The following is a 17,315-nucleotide window of genomic DNA, read 5'->3' as shown; positions in this document are numbered from 1 at the left end:
AACTTAGTGTACATTATCAGTAATAATCATAATTGTTATGTTAAAATTATCCTGTGCCACAGAGGTAACAAATTTCCTTGTCAATTGTGTCTTTTAACTATGGCTACCTTAAAACTTTTTTTCATCCACAGACAATTGTCTTGTTTTGCCTTGTTTTAAATGCTCTTTAAAAGGTGGATTTATAGGCCAGGTGTGGTGGTTCACGCCTGTAATCCCAGCACTTTGGGAGGCCAAGGTGGGCGGATCACAAGGTCAGGAGATTGAGACCATCCTGGCTAACAAGGTGAAACCCCATCTCTACTAAAAATACAAAAAATTAGCCGGGCGTGGTGGCAGGCGCCTGTAGTCCCAGCTACTCAGGAGGCTGAGGAAGGAGAATGGCGTGAACCCGGGAGGCGGAGCTTGTAGTGAGCCGAGATTGTGCCACTGCACTCCAGCCTGGGTGACAGAGTAAGACTCTGTCTCAAAAAAAAAGGGGGGTGGATTTATAATTAGCTATCAGACTCTAACAGATGCACTTAAATGCAGGTTTTCTGATAACTTTGGAAATTGTGACATTGGAATAAAGGAACTTTCAGAACTCTCATGGAGAGCTGAAATGTTCATGACTATCAAGCAGAATAGGAGTTAACTGAATTAACTGAACCAATAGAAAACGGAAGTAATCTTTTTGACTTTTTGCTTAAAATGTTGCTGATACTTTGTTTTGTTTTTCAGAGTTAAGAAAACAATTCTTTTAAGCTATTTACAGCTTTTAATAATTGAGTAAAGTATACCCCTGTGAACAAAATTTGGAACCTATTTGTTTCCCTCTACCTGATTTCTCTAGAATTTGGAAACTATTTGTGACTATTCTTAATTTATAGCAATATAGTTATTTGCATAAGTGCAGTAAGAATCTGTTTTCTTTTGCAATAGGACACAATTGGAGGAATTGGTTATTTTACCAAGGCTTTGACTGGAATGATGTGCTTTTCTTTAAGGAAGCAAACTTGACTTATGGAGCCAATAAAGCCCTTGGGAAACTGGCCTCATATTTTGTGTACACAGTCCCTGTACAGGGTTTCTGACCTGTGCTTAGTAAAGAATGCCATTTTCTGACAGGCACAGAAGCCCCAGGTTTATCTTGGATCCTCAAGAGGAGAGGAAATTCACACAACTCATAGATATTTGACGGCACAAATCCATGGTTGGGCTCGGCTTTAAAAAAGTCTTATCTGGGCTGGGTGCGGTGGCTCATGCCTGTAATCCCAGCACCTTGGGAGGCCGAGATGGGCAGACCACGAGGTCAGGAGATTGAGACCATCCTGGCTAACACGGTAAAACCCCATCTCTACTAAAAGAATTAAAATAAAAATAAATAAATTAAAAATAAATAAATAAATAAATAAATAAACCTTATCTGAGATTCCTCCTATAGAACAAAGTTCTATCAAAGTCAATTTAAAAGCCTATGTAAAAAATAATTTTTCTTCTACACTGTATACGAATATTAGGCCAAGTATAATAAAGCATACCAGTCATACCGTGATTTGTCTTTAGTAAAAATGGGAAACTGGAGAGAGAAAAATTATGTTTCAGAACTACAGTAGACCTGTTGTTAGATCCTAGTCTTGCCTAATATTTTTTTCAATTTTTGTGTTTTTCTATAGTTTGGACTGAATTCTAATTTTTCTTGACTACAAGTCTTCAAAATAATTTTTTCAATTTTTTTCCTTCCTTTTTACCCCCTTTTGTCTTTATTTGGAGTCACTGAAAACTAAGCTGTGCTTTCTTAAAACCCTGCAAACTGAAGCCAGACAACTTAAACTTCAGGAGAAAATAACTACAACCTATTTACATACATAAGCCACTTTCATACCTGCCTACTAATATATGGACTTCAGAGTAATGTGGCCTATATTGATTTTTCCAGGACTGTTCTTTTTTTAATTTTTTATTTTTTCTCCCTTCCTCCCCTCTATTTTCTCTTCACAAGACATGAGGTTTCACAACCTGCTAAAAATGAGCTTTTGGGACCTCCCCATTGTATTAGTCCATTTTTACACTGCTGATAAAGACATACCCAAGACTGGGCAATTTACAAAAGAATTTACAATTTACAAAAGAAAGAGGTTTAATTGGACTTACAGTTCCACATGGCTGGGGAGGCCTCAGAATCATGGCAGAGTTCAAAAGGCACTTCTTTTTTTTTTTTTCTTTTATTATTATTATACTTTAAGTTTTAGGGTACATGTGCACAACGTGCAGGTTTGTCACATATGTATACATGTGCCATGTTGGTGTGCTGCACCCATTAACTCGTCATTTAGCATTAGGTATATCTCCTAATGCTATCCCTCCCCCATCCCCCCACCCCACAACAGTCCCTGGTGTGTGATGTTCCCCTTCCTGTGTCCATGTGTTCTCATTGTTCAATTCCCACCTTTGAGTGAGAACATGCGGTGTTTGGTTTTTTGTCCTTGTGATAGTTTGCTGAGAATGATGGTTTCCAGTTTCATCCATGTCCCTGCAAAGGACCTGAACTCATCATTTTTTATGGCTGCATAGTATTCCATGGTATATATGTGCCACATTTTCTTAATCCAGTCTATCGCTGTTGGACATTTAGGTTGGTTCCAAGCCTTTGCTATTGTGAATAATGCAAAAGGCACTTCTTACATGGCAGCAGCAAGAGAAAATGAGGAGAAAGCAAAAGTGGAAACTCCTGATAAGCCCATCAGATCTTGTGAGACTTATTCACTATCATGAGAATAGCATGGGAAAGACCAGCAGCGCCCATGATTCAATGACTTCCCCCTGGGTCCCTTCCACAACATGCGGGAATTCTGGAAGATGCAATTCAAGTTGAGATTTGAATGGGAACACAGCCAAACCATATCATTCTGCCCCTGGCCCCTCCAGATCTCATGTCCTCACATTTTAAAACCAATCATCCCTTCCCAACACTTCCCTAAAGTCTTAACTCATTTCAGCATTAACCCAAAAGTCCACATTACAAAGTCTCATGTGAGACAAGGCAAGTCCCTTCCACCTATGAGCCTGTAAAATAAAAAAGAAGCTAGTTACTTCCTAGATACAATAGGGTTACAGGTATTGGGTAAATACAGCCATTCCAAATGGGAGAAATTTGCCAAAACCAAGGGGTTATAGGATCCATGCAGGTCCAAAATCCAGCAGGGCAGTCAAATTTTAAAACTCTAAAATGATCTCCTTTGACTCCAGGTCATGCTGATGCAAGAGGTGGGTTCTCATGGTTTTGGGCAGCTCCACCCCTGTGGCTTTGCAGGGTACAGCCTCCATCCTGGCTGCTTTCACGGGCTGATGTTGAGTGTCTGCAGCTTTTCCAGGCACCAGGTGCAAGCTGTCAGTGGATTTACCATTCTGGGGTCTGGAGGACAGTGGCCCTCTTCTCACAGCTCCACTAGGCAGTGCCCCAGTAGGGACTCTGTGTGGGAGCTCCCACCCCACATTTCCCTTCTGCACTGCCCTAGCAGAGGTTCTCCATAAAGGCCCCACCCCTGCAGAAAACTTTTGCCTGGGCATCCAGGTGTTTCCATACATCTGAAATCTAGGCAGAGGTTCCCAAACCTCAGTTCTTGACTTCTGTGCACCCACAGGCTCAACACCACGTGGAAGCTGTCAAGGCTTGGGACCTCCACCCTCTGAAGCCACACCCTGAGCTGTGCGTTGGCCCCTTTCAGCCACAGCTGGAGCAGCTGGGACACAGGGCACCAAGTCCCTAAGCTACACACAGCATGGGGACCCTGTGCCCGGCCAACAAAACCACTTTTTCCTCCTGGGCCTCTGGGCCTTTGATGGGAGGGGCTGCCATGAAGGTCTCTGACATGGTCTGGAGACATTTTCACCATAGTCTTGAGGATTAACAGTAGGCTCCTTGCTACTTGCAAATTTCTGCAACTGGCTTGAATTTCTCCCCAGAAAATGGGTTTTTCTTTTCTATTGCATAGTCAGGATAGACTCTCTACCAAAAAATTTTTTTTTCAATCAGCCAAGTGTGGTGGTGTGTGCCTGTAGTCCCAACTATAATACTAGGGAGGATGAGATGGGAGGATTGCTTGAGTCCAGGAGTTCAAGACTGCAGTGAGCTATGATTGAGCCCCTGCACTAAAGCCTGGGCAACACAGCAAGACACTATCTCTAAAAATAATAATAATAAAATAAATGAATGGCAAGAGAGATCAAGTATAAATGAATGACAAATGGGCAGATATAGTGGAGATTTAAAATATCAACATATGCTATGAAGAAAGACAAGTATGAAATAGTAGGTTTGGAGAGTGTGCAGCCCCACATTATCAAGGCCACTCATTTTATGTTTCCGTCTGGATCCCTGCACTGGCAGGGGCCAAGAGCAGTTAGTTTGGTAGTCCTGGGATGCAGAATTCAGAATGACACAGGCTTTCTAGGTCCCATGCAACTGCACGAGGTGAACGGCAAGCGGCTGAGTAATACTTGGGTTCAAATTACCAAGCAAGGGGGCAACTAAAATTCAGAAATACTGTACTTCTATTCTTACTTTATTATTAATGAATTGCTTTCCCCTTTTAACTTCTCAGGAATTCCACTTCTTCAGGGAATAAATATTTATTAGATATTTATCAGTTTGCAGAAATCCCGCAACGCAGAAAAACAAGTCAACATCTGTTACTTCTATTTGCAGAAAACCGGTAAATTCAAACAGTGTGCTAATGTTTCCACTCGGGAGGAGTGTAACTGCACAAAGGATCAGAAGTTTTCACATGCTGTTGCTTTCTCGGATTGCAGGGAAAAAGTAAGATCATTTCTAATTACCTGAATACAGGATACTTTCTTATTAACAAGATTTTGAAATGTGCCTTTAGGTTAAACATGAAAACTAAGACATAGAAATAATGTCTTATTATGATGCAGAGCTAAATATGACACCGAGCTAGAAAGATCCAGATTTAAATGTACCTTGCAAGTTAATGAACCTCATCGGTAAAATAAAACAATAATACCTGCACTACCTTGTCCATTCCACAGCATTTGTATAAAGACGCACACACACCCACACCCACACACACCCCTGTGTATACGAAAGCAACTTGTAGTCTGTAAAACATATACCAGGTTATGGTAAATATTGATTCATTTAAAATAACTTTGAGTATCTAGTATCAGGTTCTTGGAATATAGAAGGCAAAGTCATTGTAATCAAGCTCAGCCTGCTGACAGTCACAAATGAAAGACGGTGTAATATGTTGGTTAAGAGAAGGCTTCTGTGTCAAATAATGTTTTATTCTGTTAGTATCAAAATTTGCATTAGAAGAGTCAAATACGCAGTTGGGGCCGGGTGTGGTGGCTCACACCTGTAATCCCAGCACTTTGGGAGGCCAACGCCGGTGGATCACCTGAGGTCAGGAGTTCGAAACCAGTCTGACCAATATGGTGAAACCCAATCTCTACTAAAAATACAAAAATCAGCCGGGCATGGTGGCTTGCACCTGTAGTCCCAGCTACTCAGGAGGCTGAGACAGCATTGCTTAAACCTGGGAGGCAGAGGTTGCAGTAAGCAGAGATCGCACCACTGCACTCCAGCCTGGATGACAGAGCAAGATTCCATCTCAAAAAAAAGAAAAAAACAAATATGCAGTTGGTATATCTTTCAAACAGATCAATTTCAAAGTCCTTGTGACACTGTATATTGAGAAACTGTTATTACACAGACTATACATATGTAAGACATCTAGAGGCCGGGCTCGGTGGCTCACGCCTGTAATTCCAGCACTTTGGGAGGCCGAGGCGGGCGGATCATGAGGTCAGGAGATTGAGACCATCCTGGCTAACACGGTGAAACCCTGTCTCTACTAAAAATACAAAAAAATTAGCCGGGCGTGGTGGTGGGCGCCTGTAGTCCCAGCTACTGGGGAGGCTAAGGCAGGAGAATGGCTTGAACCTGGGAGGTGGAGCTTGCAGTGAGCTGAGATAGTCACTGCACTCTAGCCTGGGCGACAGAGCAAGACTCTATCTCAAAAAACAAAACAAAACAAACAAACAAAAAAAGACATCTAGAGACTATATATGATATTATATATGTATATACACAATATGTTGGTGTAGAGTCAGCATTCTGTAAATTATTATTATTTTATTTTCGTTTTTACTTTTTTTGAGACCAAGTCTCGCTCTGTCGCCCAGGTCGGAGTGTAATGGCATCATCTCAGCTCACCGCAACCTCCGCCTCCTGGATTTAAGTGATTCTCCTGCCTCAGCCTCTCAAGTAGCTGGGACTATAGGTGCCCACCACTATGCCCAGCTAATTTTTGTATTTTCAGTAGAGATGGGGTTTCACCATGTTGGCCATACTGGTCTCAAACTCCTGACCTCAAGTGATCCACCTGCCTCCACCTCCCAAAGTGCTGGGATTTATAAGCGTGAGCCATTGTGTCTAGCCAGCATTCTGTAAATTATGAGGGCTGTTTTTATATACCCCCTTGCTGAACCAAAATAATGTTTCATGAGCACTTACTATCTACTAAATGCTACTCTAAGCCTTCTCCGTGATTTATCTCATTTAATTCGAGCCACAGAGAAGTCAGGCAATTTGTCAAAGATCGCATTATTAACATGCATTGGGGCTGGCTTTGAGTTCTGACGCCAGAGCCCAAGTTTACAGATTGTGCCCGCAAGACTGACTGGCTGAAAGAGTGGCAAAAGGAGGGTGAGCAATCTATGCACAGCCTCCTGGGATATGATTTAGCCAAAAAAAGTTTGAGTGACATCATAGTAAATTCCTGTGAAAAGGGCCTATAGAAGTGATGAGTTTTGTTACCACAATGTATATACTGCCTTTGGAGTTCACATTGATTCTGCTCTAAGACATTTTCATGACTGAAAAGGCAGAAACCCCTCAGGAGCACATGTCATTGAACAGCCAAACTATTGGCAATATATCTTTTCGTTTTTTACCAGGAAATGAAGTGACTATTGACTTTCCCAAGTTTACATTCATTCTTGGAATTTGTATTTTAGGTTCCTCGCTTTAAGTTTCCAATTACACAATATCCAGTTTCTTTGGAAATTATCAACGAGGATGGACGTGTCCCATTGCAATCTCCATATCTGGTTACTGTGACTGAAGTGAACATGAGGCACAACTGGAAACTGAGTAGGGTTTGCTTTCATCTGTAATTATTTTATCTGATAAGTAATATTGTTACTGGTTTACAAAGATCAATGGTTTTCAAAGCCTGTTCACACAAAAGAGAGCCAGGAGTTCTTGCAAATGGATTTGGATCAGTTGGCATATTGCTGTTTACTTCTATTGTTTCCTACTTATTTCATCATCACTCCCAGTGGCCTGGATTCTAGGGTAAAAGCATTTTTGAATAATTTACACTGCAAAAAAATTGAAGGTCATTTTGTGGATCAATAACAACAATGACTGACTGAATTTGTGCTGCATGGTGGTCTGGCATCTCCTTTCTCTGCCCATTCAGTGTGACAGAGGAGGTTGTAAAAGGTGGGGCCAGATAATCTTTAGGATCTGTCTTCTAATTATACGAGTTTCTTAAAGGTTTCTTAAAGGTTTTATGGTAAAATAATTGAAAAGATGCAGAAATAGTTTAAATAAGATGTTTACCCCTATTCACTTTACCTCAGATATGTAACTTTTTGTTGCACATTTTGTGTTCACGTATGAATACTCTAAGGAGATATGTAGGTAGATAGAAATAATTAACTAAACAGAAATTTTGGTCAGCCATTAATATGTTACTAAATATCCAGGCACTTGGTATTCAGTGAGTCTTACTCTGGCCAACATATATGCATTTTTGAAATGAAAAATCCAGCAAAATAAAGCTACTAAATATTTTGCATTAACTGACATCCCCATTTTCTGTGGTATGCTGGAAACTGTTCTTACCAGTTTTAGAGTCCTGATCATTAAACATTTAAACATTTTACAAGCTAGATGTTAAACCATTTGTAGCTTGAAATTAGTCAGGGTGAGAGTATTTACACTATGGAAATTGGAAATTACAATCACAGCTGTTTCTTTTCCTTTAGATTCTGTGTACCTTTATACCACTGCAACGTCTAACCCCTACACTAGCTATCTAGTTTTAGAAAGGATGACAAGAAAGGCAGGAAAATAGTCAAGTAATCTCATTGTAAAACTTTACTGCCACCTTATTATAAATCGTTTACCTATCACTAAGGAGGTCCTGAGATGACCTTACTGCCAAAAACACGAAGCACGTGCAGGTCAGGACTGATCCTGAGCATGGGGCTGGAAGGAAAAGGTCAGCATGAAGCTGATCAGAAGTCTTGAACTTCTTGAGGATGCCCTTGAAGGCAATGTGAGATATTGGGCCTAACTCCCCTAAATACATCGTCTACAAAGTCAAGCAGAACTAAAAGTATGGGATAACTTGGTCATGTTATGGAGTGAAATCTTTCATTGTACCTTAATGTGCATGACAAATTTTATATTAGTAATTGCAAATGAAATAGTAATAGTAAATTAAAAGTAATGGCAAAAACAGCAATTACTTTTGCACCAACCTAATACAAAATGAGAAAAATAAGTGTGCTTAAAATATGTTTTATGTATTTTTAGAACACACTGTGCCAGAAAATATTAAAAGAATGAAACAATTAGTAGAACCAATTCTTGGTGCTGCAGTGTATAATCCTTCAGGTCTCAACTTAAGCATAAAGGTAATGATGGCATTGTTGTTTTTACTGTGTTGAGTTTAGATAAAACATGTATGTCTAAACTAAGATTGGTTTTAATTCTAAAGTATAGGTAACCAGGAATGGTGGGAATAACATCTTTAAAGTATATACCTTTAAAGTATATGAAGAGGGTTTATTTTTTTCTCCATTTCCCTTGGTGTTATTATTTCCAAAGTTTTGAGCAGATAGGCAAGCCATATTATCTAGCAAAGTGGAGAAGAAAGAGTGTTTCCGAAAGTGAAAGGGAAGAAATGGGCTCAGTATTATTCACCTGGATATGGACGAGCACATCTTCTGGTTCCAGCTGCCCATAAAAATACATGAAGTTGGTATAATACAGATAATTGTGAAAACCAATCAGAATTAGGGAACATCTTGAAGCCACAAATACGAGGATTAGCCCAAAGTATTTATCAAGGCCAGGTTTAGTTTTTAGTTTTTGTCTCCTCATTCTAAAAAAAAAAAAAAAAAAAAAAAAAAAAGTATCAGCTATTGAATCCCTCCACTTCAATCCATCTTTTTATTTTGATGCATGATGTGTATGTCCGAGAGCCTTAGGAAGAGGATGGGAATCTTTTCATGCAGCATCTATAGGGACAGTGGCCCCAGGGTATATTTTTATTAATACTTAAAGGAATGTACATGTTGATGCTGCTAACAACTGGGTGTGCTTTTTTCCACAGGGCTCTGAACTTTTCCACTTTAGAGTGACCGTCATTTCAGGAGTAACTTTTTGTAACTTAATTGAAGAATTTCAGGTAAAATGGATGCACTTGGCATCAGAGGGGTGATGGCTGGGGAAAAAACATGACAAAACCAATTCAAGAGACACCGAAGAGAAAAAATTGGCAGAATTTGTGTGATGGACAAGGCTTAAAGACAGGGGATCCTGAAGGGTAGCATTGACCCTGTCAGTAGTGACAAAGCCAGGGTGCATCATGGGTGCCAGGACTGATTGATGCTGCCAGAATTTTAATAATACATGTAATAATACGTGGCTGTCTTTGTTTTTGTTCCTTCTCCACCTTCCTTGTTGAGCCCAGTTTTCTGACTTTTAATGCTCTTCCTCTCACCTCTACTTCTCCAAAGAACATATTTCTGTAACTTTTTAGTTTCTAGTCTGATTATCCTCCTTTTGGCTGTTTGAACTGTAATCATTGTCTTAAATATTTCAAAGGCTTTCAAGATCCAAAGGAATTGAAAACCAGAATCAGTCTTTCCCAAATCATCCCATGAAAGCAACAACTCATTTTTGCTTATTCATATAATGACATGTGCTGCCTGTGAGGCATGGGAAGAAATAAGGATTTGATAAAAATCAATTAATGAGTCATTGTCAAATGCTGATGTTACATTAACATTCTGTCTCTCTCTCTCTCTCTCTCTCTTTCTCTCTCTCTCTCTCTCTCTCTCCTGTTCCGGCCCAGCTCTAAGGCCAGCTCCAATAATGGCTCTGCACTACTACAGTGGTGGGTGGCCATTGCAGCAGTGCAAACCTCTAAAACCCTGAGAGAAAAATTCAACCCACTAGATAAAGAAACTAGGAAAAGAAGCATCTGTCACATGAGGAGTGTGAAGGAAAATCCTTGTTATTTTTTTCTCTCTTTTCTCATCTCTTTGGCCCAAGAGCAGCCCTGGTTGTGGGGAACAGCACAATAGCACAGAGGGCTAAAATTCTCATAGAAGCTCCACTTTCTTTCCAGAGAACAAGGGAAAGGACCTCTAAGAGTGGAAAGCATGGGGGGACATCTCTATGAGAAGAGGGCTGGAGAAAGGGAGTCCTGATTCTTTATGTAAACTAGCACCAGGAAGAAGCTGCATATGACCAGGGCACACCTGAAGAAAACAGCAAAGCCTTTGAAATGAAACTACAAAGTAAACATCCTCTAGTTTCAGAGCAGCTCCTGAGTGGCACAGGTACCAACCAGGAAGACACAAATAGCATAGCAACAGCTTGGAAAACTGAACTGACATTGAAACCACCACCCACACAGAAGGTGAGGCATAACTTGTGACCTGAACTCAACCAGTGTGATTGACTGCTAAAAACAAACAAATAAATAATCAGCATTTTCCAGATGACTTTTAAACAAGAACCAGAATCTCCCAACATAACATCAAAAATGTCCAGGATGCAATCCGATATTATTCACCATATTTACCAGGATACAATCTGATATTACTCACCATTATTCACCAGGATACAATCTGATATTATTCACCATATCAACAACCAAGACAATATAATCAATTCTGAAGAGAAAAGACATCAACAAAGGACCACAAATGCAATTATCAAATATTCTAAACTAGCTATTATAACCATGCTCCATGCAGTACAGGTAAACACTTTTGAAATAAGTAGAAAATGATCAATTATAAGCAGAGATCTAGAAGCTACTTAAAAAGGACAAAATGGAAATTTTAGAACTAAAAACTATAATATTTAAATTTAAAAACTACCAAAAGGACTCAATTGCTGAATGGATATGGAACAGGAAAAAAATCAGTGAACTTGAAAGCAAGTCAGTGGAAACCCAACCTGAAGAAAAAGTATTTTAAGAAGAAGAAGATCTTGCCTCAGGGATCTGTGTGACAGTATCAGAAGGTCTAACATTTATGTTATCAGTGTCCATGAAGGAGAGGAGAAAAAGACTGGTATGGGGAAAAAAATCCCAGCACTTTGGGAGGCCAAGGTGGGTGGATCGCTTGAGCTCAGGAATTTAAGACCAACTGAGCAACATGGCAAGGCCCTGTCTCTACAAATACAAAAAAATTAGCCAGGCATGGAGGCACACACCTGTAGTTCCAGCTACTCTGGAGGCCAAGGTGGGAGGGTTGCTTCAGCCTGGGAGGTCAAGGCTAAGGTGAGCTGAGATCATGCCACTGCACTCCAGTCTGGGTGACAGAATGAGACCCTGTCTCAAAAAAAATAAAAAATAAAAATAAAAAGAAGAAGAAGAAGAAGAAAGGAAAGAAATAAAGACGGAAAAGCCTCAAGTTTGGTGAAGACGTAAGTTTACATATTCAAGAAGCTTAATGAGCCCTAAACAAGATAAAGATAGAGAAAACCATGCCTGAACACATCATAATCAAACTACCAAAAATCAAGATCATAAAATATTAAAAGTGGTCAGAGAAAAACAACACTGTATATACAAGGGTACAGTTTGAATGACTGCTGATTTCTCAACAGAAACCACAGAGGCAAAAGAAAGTTATACAACATCTTTAAAGTGTTAGGGGTGAGGGTTGAGTGGGGAGGAAGGATTGTCAATCCAGAATTCTCTATCTACTGAAAATATCTTTCAGGAATAAAAAATCAAGACTTTCTCAAATGAGAGAAAACTAAGAGAATCCATTGTCAGGAGAACTTCTCTTTTGAAAATGCTTAAAGAAGTTATTCAAACAGAAGAAAAGTGATAACAGCAGGAACCTTGAAGCTTCAGGAATGGAGGAAGAACAAAAATGGATAAAAGATAGGTGTGACTGCACCATTAATGAAGGAAAAGAATTGTTAAGAAAATATAGAGAAAGTGTATAAAGCTTCTTGGGACTGTCGGAACCTGCTTTTGAAAGTACCCTGAAATAGGCTGGGCATGGTGGCTCATGCCTGTAATCCCAGCACTTTGGGAGGCCGACATGGGTAGATCACTTGAGGTCAGGAGTTCGAGACCAGCCTGGCCAACATGGTGAAACATCATCTCTACTAAAAATACAAAAATCAGCCAGGTGTGGTAGTGCATGCCTGTAATCCTAGTTACTCAGGAGGCTGAGGCAAGAGAATTGCTTGAACCCAGGAGGCAGAGATTGCAGTGAGCCAAGATCGCACCACTGCACTTCATCCAGCCTGGGCGACAGAGTGAGACTCTGTCTCAAAAAAAAAGGAAAAAAAAGAAAGTACCCTGAAATAGCCAGACCTGGTGACACATGACTGTAACCCCAGCTATTTGGGAGGCCGAGGGAGGATCCTCTGAGGCCAGGGGTTTGAGGCCTCAGTCCAGTATTAACATGCCAGTGAATAACCACTGCACTCCAGCCTGGTAACATAGTGAAGCTCCGTCAAGAAAAGAAAGGGGAGGAGAAAGGAGAATCCTGAAACAATGAAACACAACCCATAAGCTTGGATTTTCTTTCACCCAAAATACATTATGGGGATAACTGAAGAAAAAAAAAAGGAGTAAGATCTGTAATTACAGAATAGTATTGTCTTAATGTTAATTTCTTGACTTTGATCATTGCACTGTGGTTATTTAAGTGAATTTTTGTGCTTAAAAACACAAATTAAAGTATTTTAGGAGTAAATAGACATTGTATCTAAAACAGACTCATAATTCTGAGGTCTAACGTTTTTTAGAAATGGTGTGGAATATTTGGATGGTTGAAGAAGATTAGAAGGGAAACATTTGAAGAAAAAGTGTTTTTCAGAACTTTAGAGGTAGCAATTTAGGTGGAGAATACAGAATTCAGAGGTGATAGACGTTTCTAATCTTAGAAATATAATAAATGGCTTAAATAAGCAAGTGAAAATTTTTTTTTTTGAGATGGAGTCACGCTCTGTTGCCCAGGCTGGAGTGCCATGGCACGATCTCGGCTCACTGCAAGTTCCGCCTCCCGGGTACATGCCATTCTCCTGCCTCAGCCTCCCGAGTAGCGGGGACTACAGGCACCCGCCACCATGCCTGGCTAAATTTTTTGTATTTTAGGTAGAGATGGGGTTTCACCATGTTAGCCAGGATGGTCTCAATCTCCTGACCTCGTGATCTGCCCGCCTTGGCCTCCCAAAGTGCTGGGATTACAGGCATGAGCCACCGTGCCCAGCCACAAGTGAAATTTTTACATCATCTGGTGGAGTGACTGAAATTTCATTAGGCAGAAATGAACAAGGAAGGCATTCTGGATGGAGAGACCAGGTACAGATATGGGAAAGTGATGCAGGACTTTTCTTGGCCACTTTGCCAACCGGGGACCTCCACAGCTGGTGACATCCTCCACCTGGGCCTTGCTCAGCCCTGAGCCTGCCACTGGAGGCACCCTGCCCACTTGTCCCAACTATGTTGTAGTGTGTACCCATGTTCCTGTCCTGCATCCAAGTATAATGAGGAAACACTAACAATTGAAGAGTGAGGAGGGCAAAGAATAATTTTACTGAGTGATGGAACAGCTCTCAGCAGACAGGGGACGTAGGGTGTGGTCCCTCACCCCTGCAGTCAGGTGGTTTCTTTGCCAGTGTGGCTGAGTGGGGCCTTTATGCACTCAGAATAGGGGAGAGTGTGCTGACTGGCTTATGAGTAAGCAAAGAAAGGCTAAAGCAAAGGTACCACTCAAAGGTGGGCACAGCAGTGTAGAAAACCAATTAGGAAGGGTAGGTATATGTAAAACAGTTGAAGGGTGGGATCAGTCAGAGGAAAGCACGCCAAACAGGAAGACAGGTTCTGAATTCGGTATGTGGATTTACCTGGGACTGCCTTCAGCTTGAAGGTCAGGTTTCACCGGCGACCCACCCCTATCTGCCTAGGCATTTGACTGCCTCCTGTCACAATCAAAAGCATAAAGTTTGCTTTTTGAATAGCTCAAATCCATTTGGCTGGAATATAAGGTTATTTAGAAGAAAGCCAGGTAGGTTAGGGTCCAATTGTGGAAGGCTTTGAATGTCAGAGTGAAAGCTTTAGAACACTCCTGTCAACATTCCTGTCAACATTCCTGTCAACAATGAAAAGCTATTAAACATTTTTGGAAAAAGGTGTTTATACACAGACTGGTGTTTTATACAAAGATAAATCTGGCAATGTTAGGATGTCAACACGGACTGGTGGGCTGGGAAGGAGGCTACTAGAGTAGCCTATTTATGAAAAGTGGCACAATAATCACAGTAGCAGTACTGAAAGAATGGAAAGAATGAATGTGAGGGGAATTTTAGAGAATGTATAGCATGGAGGGACTGTTTCTAAGAAATCAGCTACCTCCTTGGGTCACTGGGAGGATGGTGGTACCTTTAACTTGAGCTAGACCTTAAAGCAGCCTGTCATCCTTTTTCTTGTCCTTTGCACTTTCCCACATTCCCTACTGTCCTAGTTCCATTCATCAGCACGTTCTTCTCCCACAAAAGACGATCTGGCTTCCTGCTTCACAAAGGAAACATAAGCCTGGGCTTGAACCCCCTACTCTCTTTATGCCCCACTTCTATATTTAACATACAATGACCCCACCCTTGCCTCACATCTCAGAGAAAAAGACATCACTGTCCCTCTCTGTCAATAATCCTATCTGTCCTCCAGAAATTTACTTGCTTCTGTTAATTAGCTATTCATGCAGAGGAAACATTTTGAATACATAAAAAGTTACCTATACTGGCAGCACCTACAAAGAGGATTTTCTAAAGAGGTGGTAACTTGAAAGAGCACAGACATATGCCTCTACCTGGAATGTTCCTTTATCTCCTTCTCTTCTGTGAACCTACTTATTCGTCATGATCCAGCTCAGAAAGCGCATTCCCTGACTGCCCTAGGCAGGTAGGCATTCCCTCCTCCACATTCCCAGAGCTCTTTGCCCATTCCTCTGAGACTGAACAGAGAATGTTCTGCTGTATAAGCATTTTATCTGCCTCCTTCCACCATTAAAGACAGGGTAAAGGCATAGGATAATACATGGACTTCTTAGCCCCTATTTATTGTAGGCAAATTGTTACTTGTTCAACTGTCAAGAGACTGTTTCCAAGCTTTGTGGATGCTGAATGTCTTTGTAACTCTGGGCAGCGTTTTGCTCTCCGATTAATTGTGGGGAACATTAAATTTTCAGTGTTTTGCATTGCTAAATTCAGAAAGCTTAAAGACTTTGCTTTTTCTGTTGCAGATTTATGTTGATGAGGCACCATTGCCATTCCCAGGACACACGCTTATTGCCGTGGCAACAGCGGTAGTGCTAGGGGGATTAATTTTTATAGCATTTATGTTTCAACTGCAAGGCATCCATCCGTGGAGGACATTCCAAAGATGGATTAGAAGAAACCAAGAGAAGTTTTCAAGTATCTCTCTCAGTGAGCTGATTCATAGATCAAAGTCTGAAGAGTGAACACATGGTGATCATAATTTCTCTTTATTTTCTAGTTTTATCAGCCAATTCCTAGAACAATATATTTAAATGTTAAATATGCAAGCTACATAAAATCCTAAAGAATTGTCATTATAATTCAAATTGCTACTTGTCAATATATTCACCATTTCCTTTTCTTATTTTGAATACATAGAAAATGTCTTATGCCAGGGCTTATGTTGAAGATCTTCCTTGAGGTTTTTAGAAAAGTATAAAATGATAACCAACTCGACATGGAACAGGTGTTCTGTGTTGTTCAGCTCTTAGTGCCTGGAGCCCATTCTGTGGGGTCAGAACCCCTGAGCTCTGCTCCTTCCAGATAGAGTTTGAGTAGAGTGCAGTTATGCCAGGGTGAGATAGGAGTGAAGACAGCGGATCAGCAGCAGTGTTTTCAGAGCCTTGTGGGAATGAAAGAGGAAGCCATTCAAGTTTCTTTGGGCAACTTCAAAACCAGATTGTAGTACCTAAAGAGAGAAATGTGACCCCATCATTAGGGTGTTAGAAGAACGCGGTGTCTGAGCAGGGTATTGGTTTATAAACCTACATGCAGCATGGAGAATTCCAAAAGCTATATCTCTGTGTGCTCTCAAAGTAAATGTCCCCAGATAGTCAGAAGATGACCATAACATTCAGAGATCAGAGCCTCATGCTCCCTGGAAAAGCTCAGAAGGGGAGCACAGTTTTGACAACATAAGGAAAGGAAGGCATCCAATCCAGGTCTGAGATCTATCATTGAAATTCCTTAGAGAGGGCAGTGCGGCAGGTAGGCAAGAGAATCAGACTCCAGAGCCAGATCTCCTGGGTTTGCCATTTACTAGATAAGTAACCTTGGGAAGTTAATTTATTCGTGCATGAGTTGCTTCACCTGTAAAATGGGAAGACAGTAACACCTACCTAATGAAACAGGAAATTTTCCTTGACCCCTTAACAGGCCTCGTGACACGGATGCCTCGCTTATTCAGCCTGCAGCTCTCAACCCCTCATGAGAGGGGGAGCATGCAGGTGAGCGGGTGTAGGAGCCAGAGTGAGCACTTTTGGGTGGCAGCAGGAGCAAAACTCCACATAGGCCCCAAGACAGCATGTAGGGAGGAGTATCCACGATCCCCAAAGCCCCAGAGGGCATGTGTTACAGTGCTCTTTTAACTCTGCTGTCCATGGATGGCTTAGGTGGTAAACAGCTCAGTGGGCTCTCTGCCTTTTTGTTGGAGGCAGTTGCTCTTTGCCAGCGAGGGCAGAGGGTCAGTATGACAGCCTTTAGTGTCCACACCCCTGGTACACAAGCTCTTGTTTAGTTTCCAGGAAAAATCAGTTTGCATGAACAAATTGAAGGGTGGTGAATGTGGAGGATTTTATTGCTGATGGAAGTGGCTCTCGGCAGGAAGGGGAGTTGGAAGGGGACTGGAGCACAAAGGTGATCTTCCCCTGGAGTCTGGTCATCCCTGGCCAGACTCCTCTCTGAAGCAACACCGTCAAACTATGTCTGGAAATGGTGGGTT

At 41.2% G+C, this 17,315-nt stretch overlaps 1 protein-coding gene across 1 annotated transcript in view; it reads left to right on the top strand.

The window, feature by feature from the left end:
• CATSPERB (catsper channel auxiliary subunit beta) overlaps positions 1-15,989 on the top strand; it is a 151,389-nt gene extending 135,400 nt beyond the window's left edge. The window contains exons 23-27 of the mRNA NM_024764.4: positions 4,685-4,795; positions 7,018-7,153; positions 8,609-8,709; positions 9,411-9,485; positions 15,580-15,989. Coding sequence (NP_079040.2) covers positions 4,685-4,795; positions 7,018-7,153; positions 8,609-8,709; positions 9,411-9,485; positions 15,580-15,798 — 642 coding nt within the window. The 3' untranslated portion in view covers positions 15,799-15,989. The remainder of the gene's footprint in view (positions 1-4,684; positions 4,796-7,017; positions 7,154-8,608; positions 8,710-9,410; positions 9,486-15,579) is intronic.
• Positions 15,990-17,315: the final 1,326 nt, after the last annotated feature.

This window comes from Homo sapiens, chromosome 14 (assembly GCF_000001405.40).
Source record: "Homo sapiens chromosome 14, GRCh38.p14 Primary Assembly".
NCBI classification, from domain to species: domain Eukaryota; kingdom Metazoa; phylum Chordata; class Mammalia; order Primates; family Hominidae; genus Homo; species Homo sapiens.
The sequence above is the reverse complement of the archived record's forward strand: the minus strand, read 5'-3'. Positions and strand labels throughout refer to the sequence as shown.